Source organism: Homo sapiens, chromosome 6 (genome assembly GCF_000001405.40).
Source record: "Homo sapiens chromosome 6, GRCh38.p14 Primary Assembly".
In the NCBI taxonomy this organism is placed as follows: domain Eukaryota; kingdom Metazoa; phylum Chordata; class Mammalia; order Primates; family Hominidae; genus Homo; species Homo sapiens.
The window spans coordinates 53,950,427-53,970,910 of NC_000006.12; the positions used below are offsets into that span (position 1 = coordinate 53,950,427).

Below are 20,484 nucleotides of genomic sequence, written 5' to 3' on the forward strand. Positions count from 1 at the left end.
TTTATATGAAATCAAAAGAGAGCCCAAATAGCCAAGGCAATCCTAAACAAAAAGAACAAAGCTGGAGGCATCATGCTACGCAACTTCAAACTATACTACGGAGCTACAGTAACCAAAACAGCGTGATGCTGGTACAAAAACAGACACATAAATCAGTGGAACAGAATAGAAAACCCAAAAAATAATGCCTCACACATAAAACTATCTGATCTTTGACAAACCTGAAAAAAACGAGCAATGGACAAAGGACTCTCTATTCAATAAGAGGTGCTGGGATAACTGGCTAGCCATATGAAGAAGATTAAAACTGGACCCCCTTCCTTACACCATATGCGAAAATCAACTCAAGATGGATTAAAGATTTAAATGTAAAACCCAAAACTATAAAAACCCTGGACGACAACCCAGGCGATACCATTCTGGACATAGGAGCAGGCAAAAATTTCATAACGAAGATGCCAAAAGCAACTGAAACAAAGGCAAAAATTAACAAATAGGATCTAATTAAACAAAAAAGCTTCTACACAGCAAAAGAAACTATCAATAGAGTGAATAGACAACCTACAGAATGGGAGAAAATTTTTGCAAATATGCATCTGACAAAGGCCTAATATCCAGCATCTATAAGGAACTTGAACAAATTTGCAAGAAAAAAACAAATAACCTCATTAAAACTGGGCAAAGGACATGAACAGACAGTTTGCCAAAGTAGACACACATGCAGCCAACAAGCATATGAAAAAAAGCTCAACATGACTGATCATTAGAAAAATGCAAATCAAAACCACAATGAGATACCATCTCACACCAGTCAGAAAGGCTATTATTAAAAAGTGAAAAAAAATAGATGCTGGTGAGGTTGCAAAGAAAAGGAGACACTATACATTGTTGGTGGGAGTGTAAATTAGTTCAACCATCATGGGAAGTGGTGTGGTAATTCCTCAAAGACTTATAAACAGAACTACCACTCCACCCAGCCATCCCAATACTGGATATATAAGCAAAGGAATACACATTGTTTAATCATAAAGACAAGTGCATGCGTGTGTTCTTGCAACACTATTCACGATAGCAAAGACATAGAATCAACCTAAATGCCCTTCAATGGTAGACTGGATAAAGAGAATGTGGTACATACACACCATGGAATACTATGCAGCCATAAAAAAGAACGAGATTATGTCCTTTGCAGGGACATGGCTGGAACTGGAGGCCATTATCCTTAGCAAACTAATATAAGAACAGAAATCCAAATATCACATATTCTCACTTATAAGGGGGAGATAAATGATGAGAACAGATGGACACATAGAGGGCAACAACAGACATTGGGACCTATTGGAGGGTGGAGGGTTTGAGGAAGAAGAGGATCAGGAAAAACAACTAATGGGTACTAGGCTTAATACCTCGGTGATGAAATAATCTGTACAACAAACCCCCATGACACAAGTTTACCTATATAACAATCCTGCACATGTAGTCCTGAACTTAAAAGTTATTAAAAAATGTAATGCACACATAGCTAATTTTTATTTAAAAGAATAATAATAGAAATCTAATAAGCACCCACATACATCCCATCCATCTCAAGAAACAGAACATTGTCAATGTTTCCGAATTCCTCTGTCTGCCTTAACTGATCATGTACCCTTCTCTGCCCACACTCCAGACAGGGCAAGTCTCCAGAATTTTTATCCGTCTCTTGCTTCTCTTTTTAGTTTTAACTCACATACATATTCCACTAATTGACACATTAGTTCTGCCTGTTTTTGATGTTTATATAATGTATAGTCTGTGCTCTTTTGTATCTTGTGCTTACACATATATTTTTGAGATTCATCATGTTAATATTGGTAGTTGGCCTTTTGTTCACCACTGTATAATGTTCTGTAGCATGAATGTATCAAAACTAATATATTAGTTCTACTCATGATTGACATCAAGATATTTTTTCTATTATGAATGCTGCTTCTATGATTATTCTTTTTCTTATTTTTTATTTTTTTGTAGAGATGGGAGTCTCACTTTGTTGCTCAAGCTAGTTTCAAACTCCTGGCTTCAAGCAATCCTCCCACCTCAGCCTCTCAAAGTGCTGGGATTACAGTTGTGAACCACCACAGACAGCCTATGATCATTATTCTTTTTTTTTTTTTTTTTGAGATGGAGTCTCACTCCGTTGCCCAGGCTGGAGTGCAGTGGTGTGTGATCCCGGCTCACCTCAACTTCCGCCTCCTGGGTTCAAGCGATTCTTCTGCCTCAGCCTACCGAGTAGCTGGGAATACAGGCATGTGCCACCATGCCCAGCTAATTTTGTATATTTAGTAGAGACGGGGTTTCACCATGTTAGCCAGGCTGACCTCAAACTCCCGACCTCAGGTGATCCGCCCACGTCGGTCTCCCAGACTGCTGGGATTACAGGCGTGAGCCACCGCGCCCGGCCATGATCATTCTTAAACACGGCTTCTGAAGTGCTTCTGCAAGAGTTTCTCTTTGGTTACAATCCTTGAAATAGGAATACTGAGTGGAAGAATAAATGCATGCCCAATTTACTAAGGGACACCAAAATATTTTTCAATGTATTTTCCTATTAATAATCACTTCAGCAGTGTTTAAGAATTCCTATCGCTACATATCCTTTCTTACTGTCAGTACTATCTTTTATCTTTTTTTCAATCTGGTGGTCATGCATATATGCATATTTCACAATATATTTGTGAAATGATGTCTGATCTCTCACAATAAATATATGAAATTATACCTGATATTTAATTTGCATTTCCTGACTAATCCAATTCCTGACTTCATAAGGTTGAGTCTCTTTTTAGGAATTATAGGTACTCTTCTCCTCTTTTGTGAAATTCCTATTCCTGTCTTGCCTGCTTTTATGGAGTTTATTGTTCTCATTATGTAATAGGCATTTCTTATTTGAAGTACTTTGTCAAGTGTATTGCAAATGTTGTCTCCTGGTTTGTGGCCTGTCTTTTAACTTGGTGACGTCTTTGATGAGTAGGATATACAGAAGTTGTTAAAAATTTAATGTAGTCAAATATACCAATGCTTTCCTTTATGGTTTGCATTAAGAAATCCTTCCCTTCTCTGAAGTCATAAATCCATTCTCCTAGATGCTCTACTAAATATTTAAAAAATTACATTTAACATTTTAATTTCTTAATCCATGTGGAATGTCTGTGTGTGCATGTTTGTGTGTATAATACCCAAAATGCTTGATCAGGTAAGCATTTCATATCTGAAGAGGCTGTCCTGGCACCAGGATTCGGGACAGGAAGCATGGCATGCCAGAAGAGTACATCTCTGTATCTCTTTAGTTGGAGTCCACCCAGGATTCTATGGTCCTAATTAATATAGTGTTATAAGCCTGGATACCTGGGGAGTCAAGTCTACCTATTTTGGTAGATAGGCCTTGTCTGTTTGTGATGGCGCTTTTGATCTGTCAACCTGGTCAGGCTACAGGCCAGTTATACAAACATAATCCAGGTACTGCTGTGAAAGAATTCGGCCTATGGAATTACAGCTCTTAAGTCAGTTGACTTCAAGTAAGGAAGATTATTCTGGATTATCTGGGTAGGCCTGATTGAATTGTTAGAAGGCCTTAAATGCAGGACTGAGGTTTCCCCAGGAGAGAGAAGAAATTCCACCTGTGGATGAGAGCTGTGGCTTGTTCCTGTGAAGTCTCATTGTGCTCATGACGACTTTCTGCATGCATTTGGGACTTGTTTAACCAGCCCCTGCAATCATGTATGCCAATTCCTTGCAATAAATTTCTGTGTCTCTCGCTGTTTCTCTTTGTCCCTGTCTGCCTCTCTGTTTCTGTATTTCTCTCTGTATGTATGTGTGTATACATACACACACACATATATATTCATATATATATATATATATTTCTTCCTCTGCTTCTCTGTTTGAACCTTGACTTAAGCATTCTTCTCTCTTTCATATATATTACAAAATCAACTTGTCAGGTTGATTTTGTAATTTATACATGTTTGGGTTTCAATGTATATTACATTAAATCTATATGATAATTTGGATGGAATTGATATCTTCACAGAATTGAATCTTTCTATCCATGTTTTTCCACTTAGGTCTTTTTAATACCTTTCCATAGAGTTATAATTTTCTGCAAAAGCTTTATTTTTGTAGCTGTTACAAGTGTCAATTTCTAAACCTTGTTCTTATAAAAGACATACATAAAAATTGCATGGCTTAATGAATTATTATAAACACGCATATAATCACTGCTCAGGTTAAGAAACAGAACATTGCCTGAAGCTTGCTGAGTGCCTCTGCCTGTTCACAACCCACTTCCTCTACCTGAAACACAATCATTATTCGGACCTTAGAAAACTGCCTCACTTCCTTTTCTCCCTCTTGTCCTTCCACAATTTTGTCACTTCTGTAAGAATTTCTAAATAATATGATTTAGCACTTTATAGAAATGGAATCAGGCAGCAGTGTGAGTCCATATTATTATTTAAACTTTACTCTTTCTCATTAAATACGTGTTTATCATTATGAAATGACCCTCATTGCCTCTTAAAGTCTTTTTTTTACTTTAATGTCTACTTTGTGTGATATTAATAGAGCACACTAAGATTTTCCCCATCCTTTTATGTTTTGCCTTTCTGAATCCCTATTCCTGGTGACCACTGTGGTTTGCCACATCTTAAAAATATTTTTGCAGAGAACCCTTTACTATGTTATTGCCCTCTGAGCTACAAGACATTATATATTTGGTACAGATTTTCTAGTTTTTTTAAGAGGATGGCGAGTGCAAATTAAATTCATCTGATTTGCTTTTATTAGAAGCAGAGTCCCCAGTTGTATCTTCTTTTAAATTGCTTTTTATTTGTGGATGGCTTTATAAAATAAGTTTTTGTGCATTGATCCTACACCCTGCAGACTTGCTAAACTCGTTAATTTTTAGCTTTTTATATATAAATTCTTTCAAATTTCCATGTAGATAATCATATTATTAGCAAATGATGAGAGATTTCATTCTTTTTGATCCTTACACCTTATATTTCTTTTCCTTGTCTTGCACTGGCAAGTATCTCCAATACAATAAATATAAAATAGCAATTAGGCTTTGGTTTCTGATTTTAAAGGGAATCCATTTAATGTTTTGCACTAAGCAAAATATTTGCATGTTTTTTAAAATTGGTATGCTTTATCAGATCAAGCAAATTCCTTTTTATTCCTAGTTTGCTAAGAGATTTTTTAAAAACATCATAAAGTGTTATTGAGTTTTATTAGAGCTTATTCTGAATCTATTAAGATGATCATACGGTTTCTCTGAATCTGTTATTGTGGTGAGTTACATTCTTAGGTTTTTCTAATGTTGAACCAATTTTGCACCTTGAATAAATTCTACCTGATTATGTGCATTATCACTTTTATACATTTATTGATTTGGTTTATTTAGAGCTTTTGCATCTACGTTCTTAAATGGCCTGGAATTTAACTTTTGTATAATGTCCATGTCTGATTTGACAGCATGTTTACACAAACCTCATTAAATGAGTTGGGGAGTGTCTCCTGTTGTTCTTTCTTTGAAAGAACTAGTATAAGCTTGGAATTATGTGTTCCTTGAATACTCAGGAGAGCTCACTTGTAAGCCCTCTGGGTTCTGTGTTCTCTGTGGGAAGACTGTAACTACTGATTTAATTTATAGGCTGGATCTACCATCATTAAAGATTCTCACCATGGGAATGCCTGCTGTACCAGCAGAGCCCAGGCTGTGTGACAGCTGGGAAGTCCCTATTACCTTGCTGTCCTCCTGTCCCTTTCCAACTTTCCTGGAGGCAAAATCCACAGGGGCTGCAGCTCCCCCCAGTGGCTACAGAAGAGCAGCTCTGAAGGAGAGCTTGTTAGCGGTGGGCAGCTGCAGCCTGGGGAACCACATAGGCTCTGGGCACTTGCCTGCACCGTCCAAAGGCTGCCATCTTCTCCATCTTTGAGTAGGCTTGCTCGAGTCAGGAGGAAATAAGGACCGAGAGGGACAAGTGAGAACCAAGAAAGGAGGGCTAGTGAGAGTGTAATGGTTCTGTAGGCTCCCCATTGTACGGCTCACTGACATTTAGTTGCTAGATAGGGGATAGCCCAGGGAGGGGGCAGTGGTGGCAGCCATGTGGTGGGTGCCTGGTCAGAGGGCGGGCTCAGTTTGGCAGCTCTTTACCAGCCAGTAAGGACAGAGATCTCAACATTTTAATGTCTGTTGTAGCTGTTCTACTGTGCACCAGCTCTGAACACTGGATTTAGATTTCTGGATTGACATTATTTTCTTTCAGCTCTTTGAAGATATTATATCACAGGCATCTGGCTTCATTATTCTGTGAGAATTTAGCTATTAATCAAACTGTAAATTCTTTGTAGATAATTTATCTTTTCTCTCCAACAGCTTTTGGTGTCTTTTTCCTCTTCTAGTGTCTTACAGTTTCATGATAACATATCTAAGTGTCATTTCTCTGTATTCAGCCTGCTTGGCTTCCTGATGGGAGGACTGGACTCTTGCATCAGTATTAGGAAGTTGTCAGGTGCTGTCTTTTGATTGTTGCCCTCCTCATTCTCTCAATTACCTCCTTCTGAATTGCCTATTGTGCCTTCTCACTTTTTCCTCATATCTTTCCATCACTTCATTTCTCTCTGATGACTTCTAGATAAATTCTTCAGATCTAACTCTCACTTTTTTGATTTTCTATGATAATTCCAGCATTTGAAGTGTTTGTGAGTCTACTCTTGGGATATATCACTTTGCTGATTCTCACTCAAGTGACTTGTTTCCTTTGTGTTTTCTGGTTTTTAATTGTAAGGTCTGAATTTTTTTTTCTTTAAACCTTTATCTGTGAGAGATATTTGAGGTTCTGAATTTGAAGTACTTGGGTCAGGGATCTCTTTAAGCTAAATTTTCATATTGGGGGTTTGCAGTAACCATGAAAGTAGTGTGAATTCCAGACCCAAACCCAGTTTGTTATGATATTGTAGTTACTAATTTTGCAGAAAAGATAGCCCCACTCCTGCCAGTTTACCAGAGACAAGGCAAAAATAACCAAGTGAATATTACTACTTGCTTTCTCTATGAGGGATGGAGGTTAGAGAGGCTCTATTTTACTCACTGTAGATGTCAGCCTTGAGAATCTCAGCGTTGAAAGTCATGGTTCTCTTACCCAGTCTCCTATGTGTCCTTCTTGACTTGGGCCCAGACATTCTCCAGGCTCTGGTGCTTGGCCAATTAATTTTCTCCAGGTTTTTCTGTAAGCTCTGTAAGGTAAGGTTTCACTTCATGTCTAGCAGTCATATTGCCGGGAGTGAGTGTACACTGTACTTGAAAAGAAACCCATTTTACAATTAGGAAACTGAGGCACAGAGAGATTAAGTAACTTGCCCAGGATCATAGAACTAGTAAGTGGTCAAGTTGGGACTGAGATCTAGGCAGCTGACTCTGCTGACCAAGTACTTAAACCAAACACAGGCTGCCCTATGGTAATTCTTCATTCTTCTTAATCTACCTCCACAAATGTTCTGTTGGGCTTTTTTTTTTTTTGATGAAGTCTCGCCCTGTCACCAGGCTGGAGTGCGGTGGCACGATCTCAGCTCACTGCAATCTCTGCCTCCCAGGTTCAAGCAATTCCCCTGCCTCAGCCTCCTGAGTAGCTGGGACTACAGTCACGCACCACCATGCCTGGTTAATTTTTTGTATTTTAGTAGAGACAGAGTTTCACCATGTTTGCCAGGATGGTCTTGATCTCCTGACCTCATGATCCTCCCGCCTTGGCCTCCCAAAGTGCTTGTTCTGTTGGGCTTTCTAAACATTTTTTTCCTAGGCATTACATTTTTTTTTGGAAGTAACTCCAGGAAGCTCACTATTTTGCAAACACTCTGGATGTATTACCCTGGTTTAAGGTACCTCATAAGAAACGGGAAAGGAGTAAAGCTGGGAAGGTGGGAAATGGAGTTCTGTTGATTCATTTGAAAAGGCATTAATACTGTGAGAAGGTGACCAGGAAACAGCCTCTCCAAGCACCTTGAGAAGTTTTCTGAATGAATGTAGATAGCTAATGGGAATCTCAATGGAAACAGAGGGACAGTCCCTGATGCTTTATACAGGTCACCTCTCTCTCTAACAACTCTTGGGGCTTCAATGCTCGCTCCTGGTGAACAACTCTTGGGGCTAGATGCTCATAGTTCTGTAGGGTGGGAAGTCCAAGATCAAGGCATGAGATCAAGATCAGACTAAAAAACAAGAGAGCTCTCTGAGGCCTATTTTTTAAAGGCAATGGTTCCATTCATGAAGGCCCCACTTTCATGACCTAATCAGCAACCCAAAATCCTACCTCCTAATACCATCACGTTAGTGACTCAGATTTCAACATAGGAATTTCGGAGGGCACATTTGGTCTGTAGCATGAGTATATGGTGTCTATTGTATACGTCTTTCAACATTTTAATATGTTTGAACATTTTCACAATTAAATATAGACGAGAAGGGGAAAAAAGTAGCCTGGGGTCGATCCCTACCTCATTGCAGGTTCCTTTCAAGTGACTTCTCACTTTTGTCAGCAAATATACTTAATATAGTACTCTGTACACACAGCTGCTCATGAAACAGAAAACTAACATCTAAATTATCATCTAAAAGTATATGGTGCTCCCCATCCCCATCTGCCACATATGATTCAAAATAAAATAATACAAACCTGAAAAAATATGCATGAAAAAGTCTATCCAAGTTTAGACTTTTCCCATTTTAGAAACGTGATAACATTTCTAAATATTTTCTATATGTGTTCTTGCTTTGCTGGTTCTCTAAGCATGGACTTACTATGCAACTTGGGCAGTCTAGCACTGGTAGGCTCTTGCATTTGTTAATTACGGAAAAAGTAGCTTTTTTTAAAAAAAAATATTTATTTATTTATTTATTTATTTATTTATTTATTTATTTTTGAGATGGCGTCTTGCTCTGTCGCCCAGGCTGGAGTGCAGCGGCACAATTTTGGCTCACTGCAAGCTCCACCTGCCAAGTTCATGCCATTCTCCTGCCTCAGCCTCCCGAGTAGCTGGGACTACAGGTGCCGGCCACCACACCCAGCTAATTTTTTTCATATTTTAAGTAGGGACGGGGTTTCACCGTGTTAGCCAGGATGGTCTCGATCTCCTGACCTCATGATCCGCCCACCTCGGCCTCCCAAAGTGCTAGGATTACAGGTGTGAGCCACTGCACCCGGCCGGAAAAAGTAGCTTTATAAGGGACTGAAGCTTGTCCATGCCTGCAGGTAATATCCACCTAATTTCATGGCAAGCTAAACTCTCTTTTATCACTATCTAGATAAATTCGGCATTATATTCTCATTAAAACCCATCTTTGCTTAAAATACTGGCTACCTTGTGTGTGTTCAATTCTTTTAGTAACTGGTACTTTTATTGCCTTGTCATGTTTACCTTAGTCACTTACTAAAATTCCTTTTGCAAAACCTCAACTGTCTGGTTACTTTCCAGGATAAGAAGATTTGCTTTAGAGAGAGAAGATTTGCTTCAGAGACAGATTTGCTTCAGAGAGAGAAGGTCCTCTCTAATTTCTTTCTCTGCCTTATATCTGGTTTTGCTGCTGCGTCAAGCTGTTAGCCATATTCTTAAAAACATTTACTTTGGGCATTTTACTTTTCTTATTAATTTTTAGTATTTCTATTTTATCAGCATGTTGTTACAATATTGATTAATATTGCTTACTAAATGTGATTTTGGGATATATGGGGTCCAGTGTAAGGGGTCTGCCTTCTCCTCATCCCTCTCCTTTCCTTGGAACTGCCTCCCACCTCTTAATCCAGCAGAGGAGTCACATTCCTACATAGTTCCAGGCTTCTAGTTGAAACTAAGCTAGGCCAGTCGAAGATGGAACCAAAAGACGCAGGGATCAGTTGACCTGTTTTTTCAAATGACCAAGACATCAATTCAGGGTGTTGGTCATAGCTGCTTTCCTCCCAGATGGCTGGGATGGAGTTTCCATTTTCACTAAAAACTTTTCTGTTAGAAGCTTATGTGGATCCCTTCAGTGACTCATATTTCAAAACCACAGTAGGATGATAGGTTGCCCATAATTGGTTTAATTTGGGAGGTATCCGCGGGAATGCAGCTGCATGAGGAATCCCTGGTTATCATCTATCAAGGTTGCCTTTGATAGGAAAATCACACTTCCCCCAGAAACTAGAATATACTATCCTCATTATGCAACATGTGAGGCTTCTGGGCTAAGCAATAGCTAGGAAAAGATTTTTTTAAACTTGACTAGAGTATGCAATTATTTAAAACAATTCTTGGCCGGGCGCGGTGGCTCAAGCCTGTAATCCCAGCATTTTGGGAGGCAGAGGTGGGCGGATCACGAGATCAGGAGATCGAGACCATCCTGGCTAACACGGTGAAACCCCGTCTCTAATAAAAAATACAAAAAATTAGCTGGGCGTGGTGGCTGGCGCCTGCAGTCCCAGCTACTCAGGAGGCTGAGGCAGGGGAATGGCGTGAACCAGGAGGTGGAGCTTGCAGTGAGCCGAGATCACGCCACTGCACTCCAGCCTGGGCAACAGAGCAAGACAAACAATTCTTATTCACCTATGTTGACTACACAGTATTTTGATTTAAATATAATTAATATATACAAACATAAAAAACTCATTATATACTCCTTGTATGAGTTATATACTCACAAGTGTTATATGACTATAAAACTAAACCGAATGTACAAATAAGACAGACAATACTGTGTGAAATGGATAATAGTCACATTTGTAAAGTTTTTCCTGTGTTCACAGTATAGTCTAAGTGCTTTACATTTTGCTAATTTAATTATCACAGAGGCAGGTCATCTGATTTACAGTTGAGAAACTGAGGCATACAGTCCACACAACTGTTAAGTATTAGAGCTTTGCTTTGAACCCAGGAAATCTGGCTTCAGAAAGTGTGCACTTAATAATTATGTTAAGCTGCCTTTCTAAAAGCTAGTGAATTGCATTAAAGTGACAGATAGTGTGACTCAGTTAACACTTATTTGCAGGTAGCTCGTTTAACTGGGTTGAAATATATTTGTGTATCAACCTGAATCTTTTGATTTAGAAAATGATGGCCCATCATCTGAGTCATTACTATGACTCCTGTCATTATTTTCTCTTTTTCACAATGAATGTTTTAATCACACATCTGTTATTTGAATGAGCCAATTTAGCAGTGCACTACAAAACACATTTTTATTCTGTAAAATAAAACAAAATAAATTGGCATGAAAAAGATGTGATTAGAGGAATACATTTATACATTGTAGGCCAAATGCTGTGGGTTCTTTTGATGAGGCTTAAAAGAACTTGTTGCTCAATTTTCTTATCATTTTTTCCCCTCATTTAACTGGAAGGAAAACCTCCATTTATGGTGGTGTTTGCCTTCCCTGGGCTTCAACGTGATCATAAACATAAGAGCAAAGGGGGGACAGCCTGGGACATTTTGCGAGGAGATTGTTATGCAGATTCTTTGGAATTTAAGCAAATTTAAGCAATTTCAGCATGGCAATCTTTGAGATGAAAGCACAACCTTAAAATTTTTTAAAAGTTATGTTTTCTCAAAAATATCTTCATAGGCGTCTATGGTCTTCAGCTGAAAAACCACTGGGCTGGAGGAATGTCTTAGAGATTGGAATTTAATCTGATGCTGAAAGGAATGTGGATGAGCAGAGCAGGCGCCACTGTAGGGCTTGGCTGTGGAATTCTCAAGCGTGAACGACTCAGTGCTTTGAGTGCCATCCACAATCTGTTGCAGTAATTATGACCTTGGCTCTGTTTATTTGGGATTGTGCTTGTTGTGTTGTCACAGATCTCCGGTGTTGTTGCTGAAGCCCAGGCTTAATTTGTATTACTTTAATAAATCTGTAGGTGGGACTCAGCCTGAACTTTTACTATTTGAGCCCCAACTTACATGTTCCACATAAAAAGAAGAGTATCTACTGATAAGAGTGCCCCGATGTGGGATTGTTGGAAGATACTGGCCCATACAAATTTCCTGGCTTCCTTGCCACTGCTGGGTCACCAATACCTGGTGGGGATCTGCACGCAGTTAGTGTTCAAGGAGTCCATGTTGAGTGAAGAAATGCCATTCACTCTTCTAAGGTCCAGAGAGATGTTTTCAGTGCCTCTGAGGCACAATATAGTTTCAGGTATTTTATAAATATGATCCAATGATTTAATGGCATTGAAGAAAAAATGACAAGATGAACTTTTTTAAAATCAATGAATTCTTTTCTTTTTTTCCCCTTCTCTGAGTAAGGGCACTGAACATCTGCACTTCTATTTTAATAGGCACTTCTCCGTAAGTGTTCTAAACTCTGCTCAGCCTCACCCTCAGCTGGATCTGGTGTCAGTAGCACTCCATGTAGGATGATATTAGTGAGGAGGCCAATCACCTGGTCGTGTCTGTCCTCTCAGGACATGCCTAAGAGGCTTCTGAAATCTCCTTAGAGCTAACTTGCAAGGTTCCTGCTGGAACTCATTACAGGGAAAGAAAAATTTTCATGATGCTTTTTTTGGACAAACTCAGATCAGCTAATGAAAAATGAAAGAGTCAGTCAAGAGGAAGTAGCTGAGGAGAGAGAGCACCCACGTGAGAACAGGAGAGAATATTTCCTTTAACATAGAACACACTAGGTTTAAAAAAATAGTTCTAGACCTTTCTCTTTGCAGCTATACAATTAAATAATAATGAAAGAAATGTATGTTCCAAAAAAGTATGGTGTGGAGATGGTAGTATTGCCTAGCTAGCATTTTGAGTATTTTTCCTCTAGTTAGTGGTGGGTTGCATTGATTCTCTCCATTCTCTCAGGACTGGTCTCCTTTGGGTTTGACAGCATGTTGCCATGGTATCATCAAGATCTGCTTTCCTGCAGATGGACCTGTAAATAGGCTCAGTATCAGCAAGGGAGTGGAGAGGGGGAAGAATATAATTTAACTACTCTAATTCATGTAATGAGACTCATGAATGTTAGTGAAGTAATGGTGAAAATATTGGCTAGTTGTATGCAGAGGAATTAAAAATAATCCCCTGATCAAACACTATTCATGCACACTGTACTCACTGTTGTGCTTCTGAAATATTTTAAATTTATATTTTAAGTGTGGTTTGAACTTTCCAACACCTGATCTAATACTGAAGTTTATCTTAGAGGACTTAGACATTTATCTTCTTCTTAGATTGCATGTAGTCAGTTGGTGTAGTATTGTTTTTTACAGGACCTCACTTTTAAGATGAAGCAAGCCCTTTTGGAAAGAAAGGTGCTTTCTTTATAGTGGTTTTCTATGTATCCCAAAGAAGTTTATTGTTATCATTATTCATTATTCTCAGCATTACCTAGCTTTTAAAACTGTTTATTGATTATTGTAATAGATTGCATGCCATTTTGGTAACTCTAGGTTTAAAAATTCTACAGATAAAGGCAGCAAAATTCCCCCAAATAATTACCTCTTTAAATAGTTTAATGGAATAATTAAATCTAATTCTAAGCAGTACTCTTCTTTTTGGGACCCTGTATTCTAAATTTTTAAAGTACTCAGTACAAACTTTAAACTTGAATGTATCAAAAAAAAAAAATAGCTGCACCTAAGCATCTCTCTTCCAGACAGGATGAAGCTGTGGAAAGAAGGACCCTTCATGAGGGGCAGAGTGCTGGCAACTTCAGAATGCTTGAAGGGGAGGAATGAAATATGGCAGAGAGTGAAAATATCAGATTAAAGATACTCTCTATGCCTTAGAATAGTGTTTACCAATATGGTCGGCAAATATGGTTCAATGAATGTCATCACTCTGCATAGGTTCAGAAGTGGTATGTCACTTACCTTTCCTTTTAAAATCCAAAGCAGGAGCCAGTACCTGGCAGCTGGAATCAACACCAGAGACCAAACAAATCTCTGGAAAGTTTTTCATGGGAAATCCAAGAAGCTACATCTGAAGAAAATACTTTGTCTGTGACCAACAAGAGAAGGACAGTTTCTCTGGTTTCTATTTCTACCAACATTCCATTAGGGTCTAGCGACATCTCTGGAGAAACTTAAGGTTACTTGGATCCCACAAGTGACAGAACAAATGTAGCCATCCTTAAAGGTAAAGCAATTCACTCAGAAATATGTGGCCATCTTGTCACTGAGAAGCATCCATGTAGATGGCAAGTGGCCTCACTGGTGTATGTATATGGGTATTAAGTATGTGTGCATGTATGCACACATGTGTGCTATGGTGTGTGTGTGTATGCACACATACATGCACATATACTTACTATCCATAAGCATTAGGGTACTTATGGGTATTAAGTATTAATTGTGTGTTTAAACTCAGAATTTAAACACACAATTTGGCCAGGTGCGATGGCTCACACCTATAATCCCAGCACATTGGGAGGCTAAGGAGGGCGGATCACGAGGTCAGGACTTTGAGATCAGCCTGACCAACATGGTGAAACCCCACCTCTACTAAAAATGCAAAAATTAGCCAGGCATGGTGGCACACGCCTGTAATCCCAGCTACTCAGGAGGCTGAGGCAGGAGAATCACTTGAACTGGGGAGGCAGAGGTTGCAATGAGCCGAGATTGCACCACTGCACTCCAGCGTGGGTGACAGAGCCAGACTCCTTCTCAAAAACAAACAAAAATACAATTTAACTAATATTACTGTTGTTTTCTCTGGAACCACATACTTAGAAACTACTAGTGATATGGTTTGGTTGTGTCCTCTGGAACCACATACTTAGAAACTACTAGTGATATGGTTTGGTTGTGTCCTCACCCAGATCTCACCTTGAATTGTAAAAATACCCATGTGTCAAGAACAGCGCCAGGCAGAGGTAATTGAATCACGTGGGTGTTTCCCCCAATACTGTCCTTGTGGTAGTGAATAAGTCTCATGAGATCTGACAATTTTATAAGTGGGAGTTTCCCTGCACAAGCTCTCTTGCCTGCCACCATGTAAGACGTGACTTTGCTCTTTGGTCACGTTCTGCCATGATTGTTAGGCCCTCCCAGCCATGTGGAACTGTGAGTCAATTAAACCTCTTTCTTTTATAAACTACCCAGTCTCAAGTATGTCTTTATTAGCAACATGAGAACAGACTAATACAACTAGTTATTTTCAGTGTTCAAAAATGAAATTTTCTTAGTATGATAGTATGATATAGAAAATTTATCTTGTATTGTAACATCTGATGTGAGGTTATTGATGTTTTCACCACTTATACCCAGAAACATCTTCATTGTCTACCAATTTGCATACATCTGCCTATCATGAGGACGACAAGAGCAGAACTGGCTCAGGAGACAGTGACTCAGTCTTTGTCTGAAATTAGTTACTGATTGGCTGTGTTTCCTGAACCAGGTACTTAACTGCTCTGGATTTTAGTTTCTAATTCTTTAAGAGATTTAGAGGCTGGGCGCGGTGGCTCACGCCTGTAATCCCAGCACTTTGGGAGGCCGAGGCAGGCAGATTACCTGAGGTCAGGAGTTCAAGACCAGCCTGGCCAACATGGTGAAACCTTGTCTCTACTAAAAATACAAAAAATAAGCCGGGTGCAGTGGCGCGCGCCTGTAATCCCAGCTACTTGGGAGGCTGAGGCAGGAGAATTGCTTGAACATGAGAGGCAGAGGTTCGCGGTGAGCCAAGATCACACCACAGAACTACAGCCTGGGTAACAGAGTGAGACTTTGTCCCCCTCACCACACAAAAAAAGAAATTTAGAGCCATATGATATCTTATTCCTCTTATCATCCTTAGGTTCCATAGGTCATGATAGAATCTCCAGGGAATAACGGTCTTTCTCTTAAGTTATGCAAAGCCCTAGAAATGGTAATCATTTATTGGAAAAACATATGAATATAGAAGATATCATCGTACCGAGTTTTATAAAAACTCTTTAGCAATCTATGCATGGGCTGACTGACATGTTTGCCTTGCCACTATCCTGGTTGTTTTCTCCTTTCACTTAGGAATAAGCTCTGAACATAAGGATCTATGTAAAAGCTTTTAGGTCTGTTAGGAAAATGCTGACTCAAATTAGCTACAAGGGAGAGAAGAGTGAGAGTCACTTGTAGTTGTTTCTTTCTTAAATTCTTAGTGACCAAAAATATGAGAGAGATGGGGAGGTGAGAGAGAGAGAGAGGGAGAAAGAGGCAGAAAGAGAGAAGGGAGCGTGGGAGAAGAGGGAGAATATTTGCTGCTGCAATAAAACCAGTTTTTTTGTTCATATAATAATTTTTAAAAACTTTTTGCTCAACTTTTCCTTGAATAAAGTACCTACAGCTACTTTAAGGATTTTGAGTTGAAGCAGAATTACTCAATGTGGAAAGGGTTATTTTATAACGGAAACTGAAAAAGATCAAGAAAGAGGGATGCATGGGTAGGAGGAGAGTAAAGGAAACGTAGGAGCTAATTTACTTGGTTTCAGAGATGATAAAATTTTAATGTCAATCAAACCTTGTATATTATTCTTCTTATATTATGTATATTTAGCTTTCTTGAAGTTGACTAGTTTGGAGACAGGCAATGTTATGCTTTGTTGACCAGTTTAAGATGCCGTGAACTTTTTTGAAAGCAATTTGGCAGCATGTATCAATAATTTAAAAAAAATTATACCATTTGATCTAATGATTCTACTTTTAGAAATCTATCCTAAGGGAAAAAACATAAAAAATGAAGAAAAAATAATAAACAAAAGATGGTTCTTGCTAGGCTATTTTTAATATCAATCTGTCCAAAGTAAAAATATGTTTTTACTTTGTTCCTTTCCAGGCCAGATTCCATAATCTATTATTATAATTACTCTCTTGTAAATACTTTCATTCCTCTGTCTACCTTTCTTTTGTGTCTCTCGCCTGGCTAACCCTAACACTGAATAAGCCCAACTCTTTACTCTCTGTCAATTCCTAATCTTGGCAGAGAGAACCACAATCCAGTGGAATAATAGCACTATCAATTCATGATTATCAACCTCAACCACTATTTATGTGCTTGATATATATGCCAAATTCAGTGACAACTTCTACTCCTTCTCTTAGTGAATCTAAGCACCAACACTCCCTTTTTCATGAAACACCCTGAGGACATTCCTTTGGCTTCTGTAGCATCATGGTTTCCTTGTTTCCTTCCTGCATTTCTGGAGTCTCCCTTATCTTTTACCTGTCCTTTAAGTTTTGCATTTCTTTAGACCTCAGTCTTTGAGCTTTTCTTTCTTCACTGTGTTCTCTTGCTTTCAGTGACCGTAGGAATCCCCTTGGCTTTAAATGCAACTTCTATAACACAGATGTCCCAAATGTATCTCTTCAGCCCAGCCCTTTCTCCACGTCTCAGACTCCAACATCCAAATACCTGTTTGTCAGAGCCACTTGGACCTCCACTGTCATCGCCGGCTCTTGCTATTCCCTCCAGGTCTGCTCTTCTTTTAGAAAATGCAGATTCCACATAAAGAAATTAACAATGTCCCCTAATATTTTGGTGAATTTCCTATTAGGTAAATCATAGCTATTTGTGAAGAGAAATACAAATATTAGAAAATAAAATGAACCAACTTAGAATCAAAATCTTCAGAACTTTCTTATCCAAATTCATGACTTGGGTGTTTGCAGTTTAAGCTTCTGGCTTAATAAATGCAAATGTTAGAAAATACAAAACATGGAATACTATTAGGAGCTCATAGTGTACCTAATGTAATTTGAATATTATTTTTTAAAAAACCACAACACAAATCCTTGCCGGTTTCCTAGGCTTTTACATCTATAATTTAGACAAACAGAACACACAGCAGATATAAAAATGCTTATTTCTCAGAGGAATGGATTCACAGAAATCCCCATTTGCAGAAATGCACCTGGGATTAGTAGCATTAGTGCAGATATTCCACTTATGTATATATACTTTAAAAACATCCTGAGGCCTACAGGAAAAATAACTGCCTCTATTTCATGTGGTTGTCCTTTGGGAGAAGCAGAGTTGATATGTGAACATTAACAAGATGCATTCACTTTTGAAAACTAGATCAGCTCAAAATTGTGAGTCATAAACAATTTTCTAGCTCAGTGGTTCTCAGCTTTTGGAAATATGAGAACAACTTTTTAACATTAAAAAAATTATAGAGATCTCCTTCTCATAAAAACAAAGCAACGCTAAACAAACACCTCACACAAAATCACAGTAGCTTTTATGTGTTCACTTCTTTCAGTTGAGGAGAGAGACAAAAGTGTTACTATTAATTTGGAATTCTTTAAGAAACTTGTATTCTTTCTCCTTTCTCTTGATTTCCTTCTATATTTGTGCTTACTTTTTTGTTTATGAACTATATTTTTGATATTAACTTTAAATTATTTGTGGTAAGAGTAAGAAGAAAATTAATTCAGTAATTTTTTTATTGGATAAATTATTTTTAAAAAGAATAAGTACTTTATATTTAAACTATTTAAAACTACATATGCACATAGGTTAAGAAATGAGAAATCCCTCTACAGGGATTTTAACAAAAAACAGCAACTCACTGGTATCCCTAACCATTCTCCCAAATTTCTACTCCTCTGCAGCATTTTCAACTAATAGAGCTATTCTTAAAAATACATTTTCTCCATATCTCTATATAGCAGATTTATATTGTTACTTCTTTTGCTACAACTTTATTGTTACTACACTTTTGTAGTTTTAGTCGTAATGTATTGCTTGATATCCTTTGCTTCATAGCTTCTCTTTTGACCTATCATACATGTTTACTTCTATTCCTCTCCTGCTCTCCTAGTGAAGCGGAGCACAATTTTGGTTAGATCAATATTCAATGTTATTTTGACTATAAAAATGCTATTTACAGATAAGCCAACTGGTATACTATGATTACTCTTTCTTGTAAAATACTTTATTTTCCTTGGAGTTAATACTCATTATTTACTTAGTTGTTTTCTATGTTTATTCCTAATTCAATCCTAAATTCTGTCAGTTGTCCAAATTTAATCAGCCACATTAAATTTTGTCTAGTCATCTTCTTGAAAAAATTCCTGTTGGGGCCTTCCAACTTGTCCTAAACTCTCCTAGTTACTCTCAAGACTTGGTCCAGAGTTATGTTCTTGGGAATTCCCCCCATCTCCCTACAGATTTTTTAAACTTCTCTATTATGTTGGATTGCCTGTTTTTGGTTCCCTTGTTTTCCTGTTTCTTAGTTTACTCCTTTGTTTTGGTTGAACATGTTCTTTGGTAGTTTTCTGAGAAAGATGTATTCAAAAAAAGATTTTTTTCAGATCTTACATTATCAGAAAATATTTTTGGCCAGGCACGGTGGCTCACGCCTGTAATCCCAGCACTTTGGGAGGCTGAGGTGGGCAGATCATAAAGTCAGGAGATCGAGACCATCCTGGCTAACACGGTGAAACCCCGTCTCTACTAAATATACAAAAAATTAGCTGGGCGTGGTGGTGGGCACCTGTAGTCCCAGCTATTTGGGAGGCTGAGGCAGGAGAATGGCGTGAACTGGGGAGATGGAGCTTGCAGTGAGCCAAGATTGCACCACTGCACTCCAGCCTGGGTGCCAGAGTGAGACTCTGTCTCAAAAAAAAAAAAAAAAAAGAAAAATATATATTTATTTTATTTGGATATTTTTTCAATAGTTTAGATACAGAATTCTAGGTTGAAAATCTTTTCCCCTTATAATTTTGGGTTCTAGCTTCTAGTGTTGTTGAATGATGCAATACTGTTCTGACTCTTAATCAAAAAGAACAAAACATTGGTGTTTTTAGGCTCTTCTCTGCTTTACTCTTGTTCTGAAATTTCACAATGACATGCCTTCATTGAGGTCTATATTCGTTCATTATATTAGAACTTTGTATCCCTTTCAATGTGAAAACTAATTTCCTTCAATTACGGGAAAATTATTTTGTATTACTTTCTTAACTATTTACTCTCTTTTTTTCTCTGTGCTCTGTTTCTGGATTTTCTGTTATTTGGATCTTTGACCTACTGGACTTTCCTAATTTTCTATTTTTTATTAAATAAATTTCCATTTTCTATCCTTTTGTCTTTTACTTTCTGGAATATATTACTTTCTGGAATATTTCTTCTTCCTTCTACTGAGTTTTACATTTATGCTATCATATTTTTGATTTCTCAGAACTCTTTTTTAGCCTCTGCATATATTTTTGTGTCTTATTCTTACTTCATGGATGTAATACATTCTCTTATTTCTTTCAGAATATTAGGGATATTTTTTGAAGACTTTTTTTCTTTCTGTATTGCATCTATCTCCTGTAAGTTGCTTTTTTTTTTTTTTCTGTTAGTTGCTTTGATTTCTGTATTTCATATGAGGTGCTTTCCTTACACGCCTGGTGATCATCACCTGTCTAGTCATTTTTAAATGGGACATTAAAAAGCTGATTGGGGAAGGTTCATGCCTGTGAATGGGACTGGCTGTCATGGCCATCTTTTTATATC

General features: G+C 38.1%; 1 long non-coding RNA gene across 1 annotated transcript in view, besides 1 other annotated feature; it reads left to right on the plus strand.

Moving 5' to 3' along the window:
* Positions 1-20,484, plus strand: part of LOC101927189 (uncharacterized) — a 67,686-nt gene that overhangs the window by 20,445 nt on the left and 26,757 nt on the right. The gene's annotated exons all lie outside the window — the stretch shown is intronic.
* Positions 11,432-11,932: an enhancer, noted in NCBI's record as "OCT4-NANOG-H3K27ac hESC enhancer chr6:53826656-53827156 (GRCh37/hg19 assembly coordinates)". NCBI's record gives its function as "activates a minimal SCP1, AML or CMV promoter by ChIP-STARR-seq in naive H9 embryonic stem cells {active_cell/tissue: H9 hESC(naive)}" and the evidence as "EXISTENCE:reporter gene assay evidence [ECO:0000049][PMID:30033119]".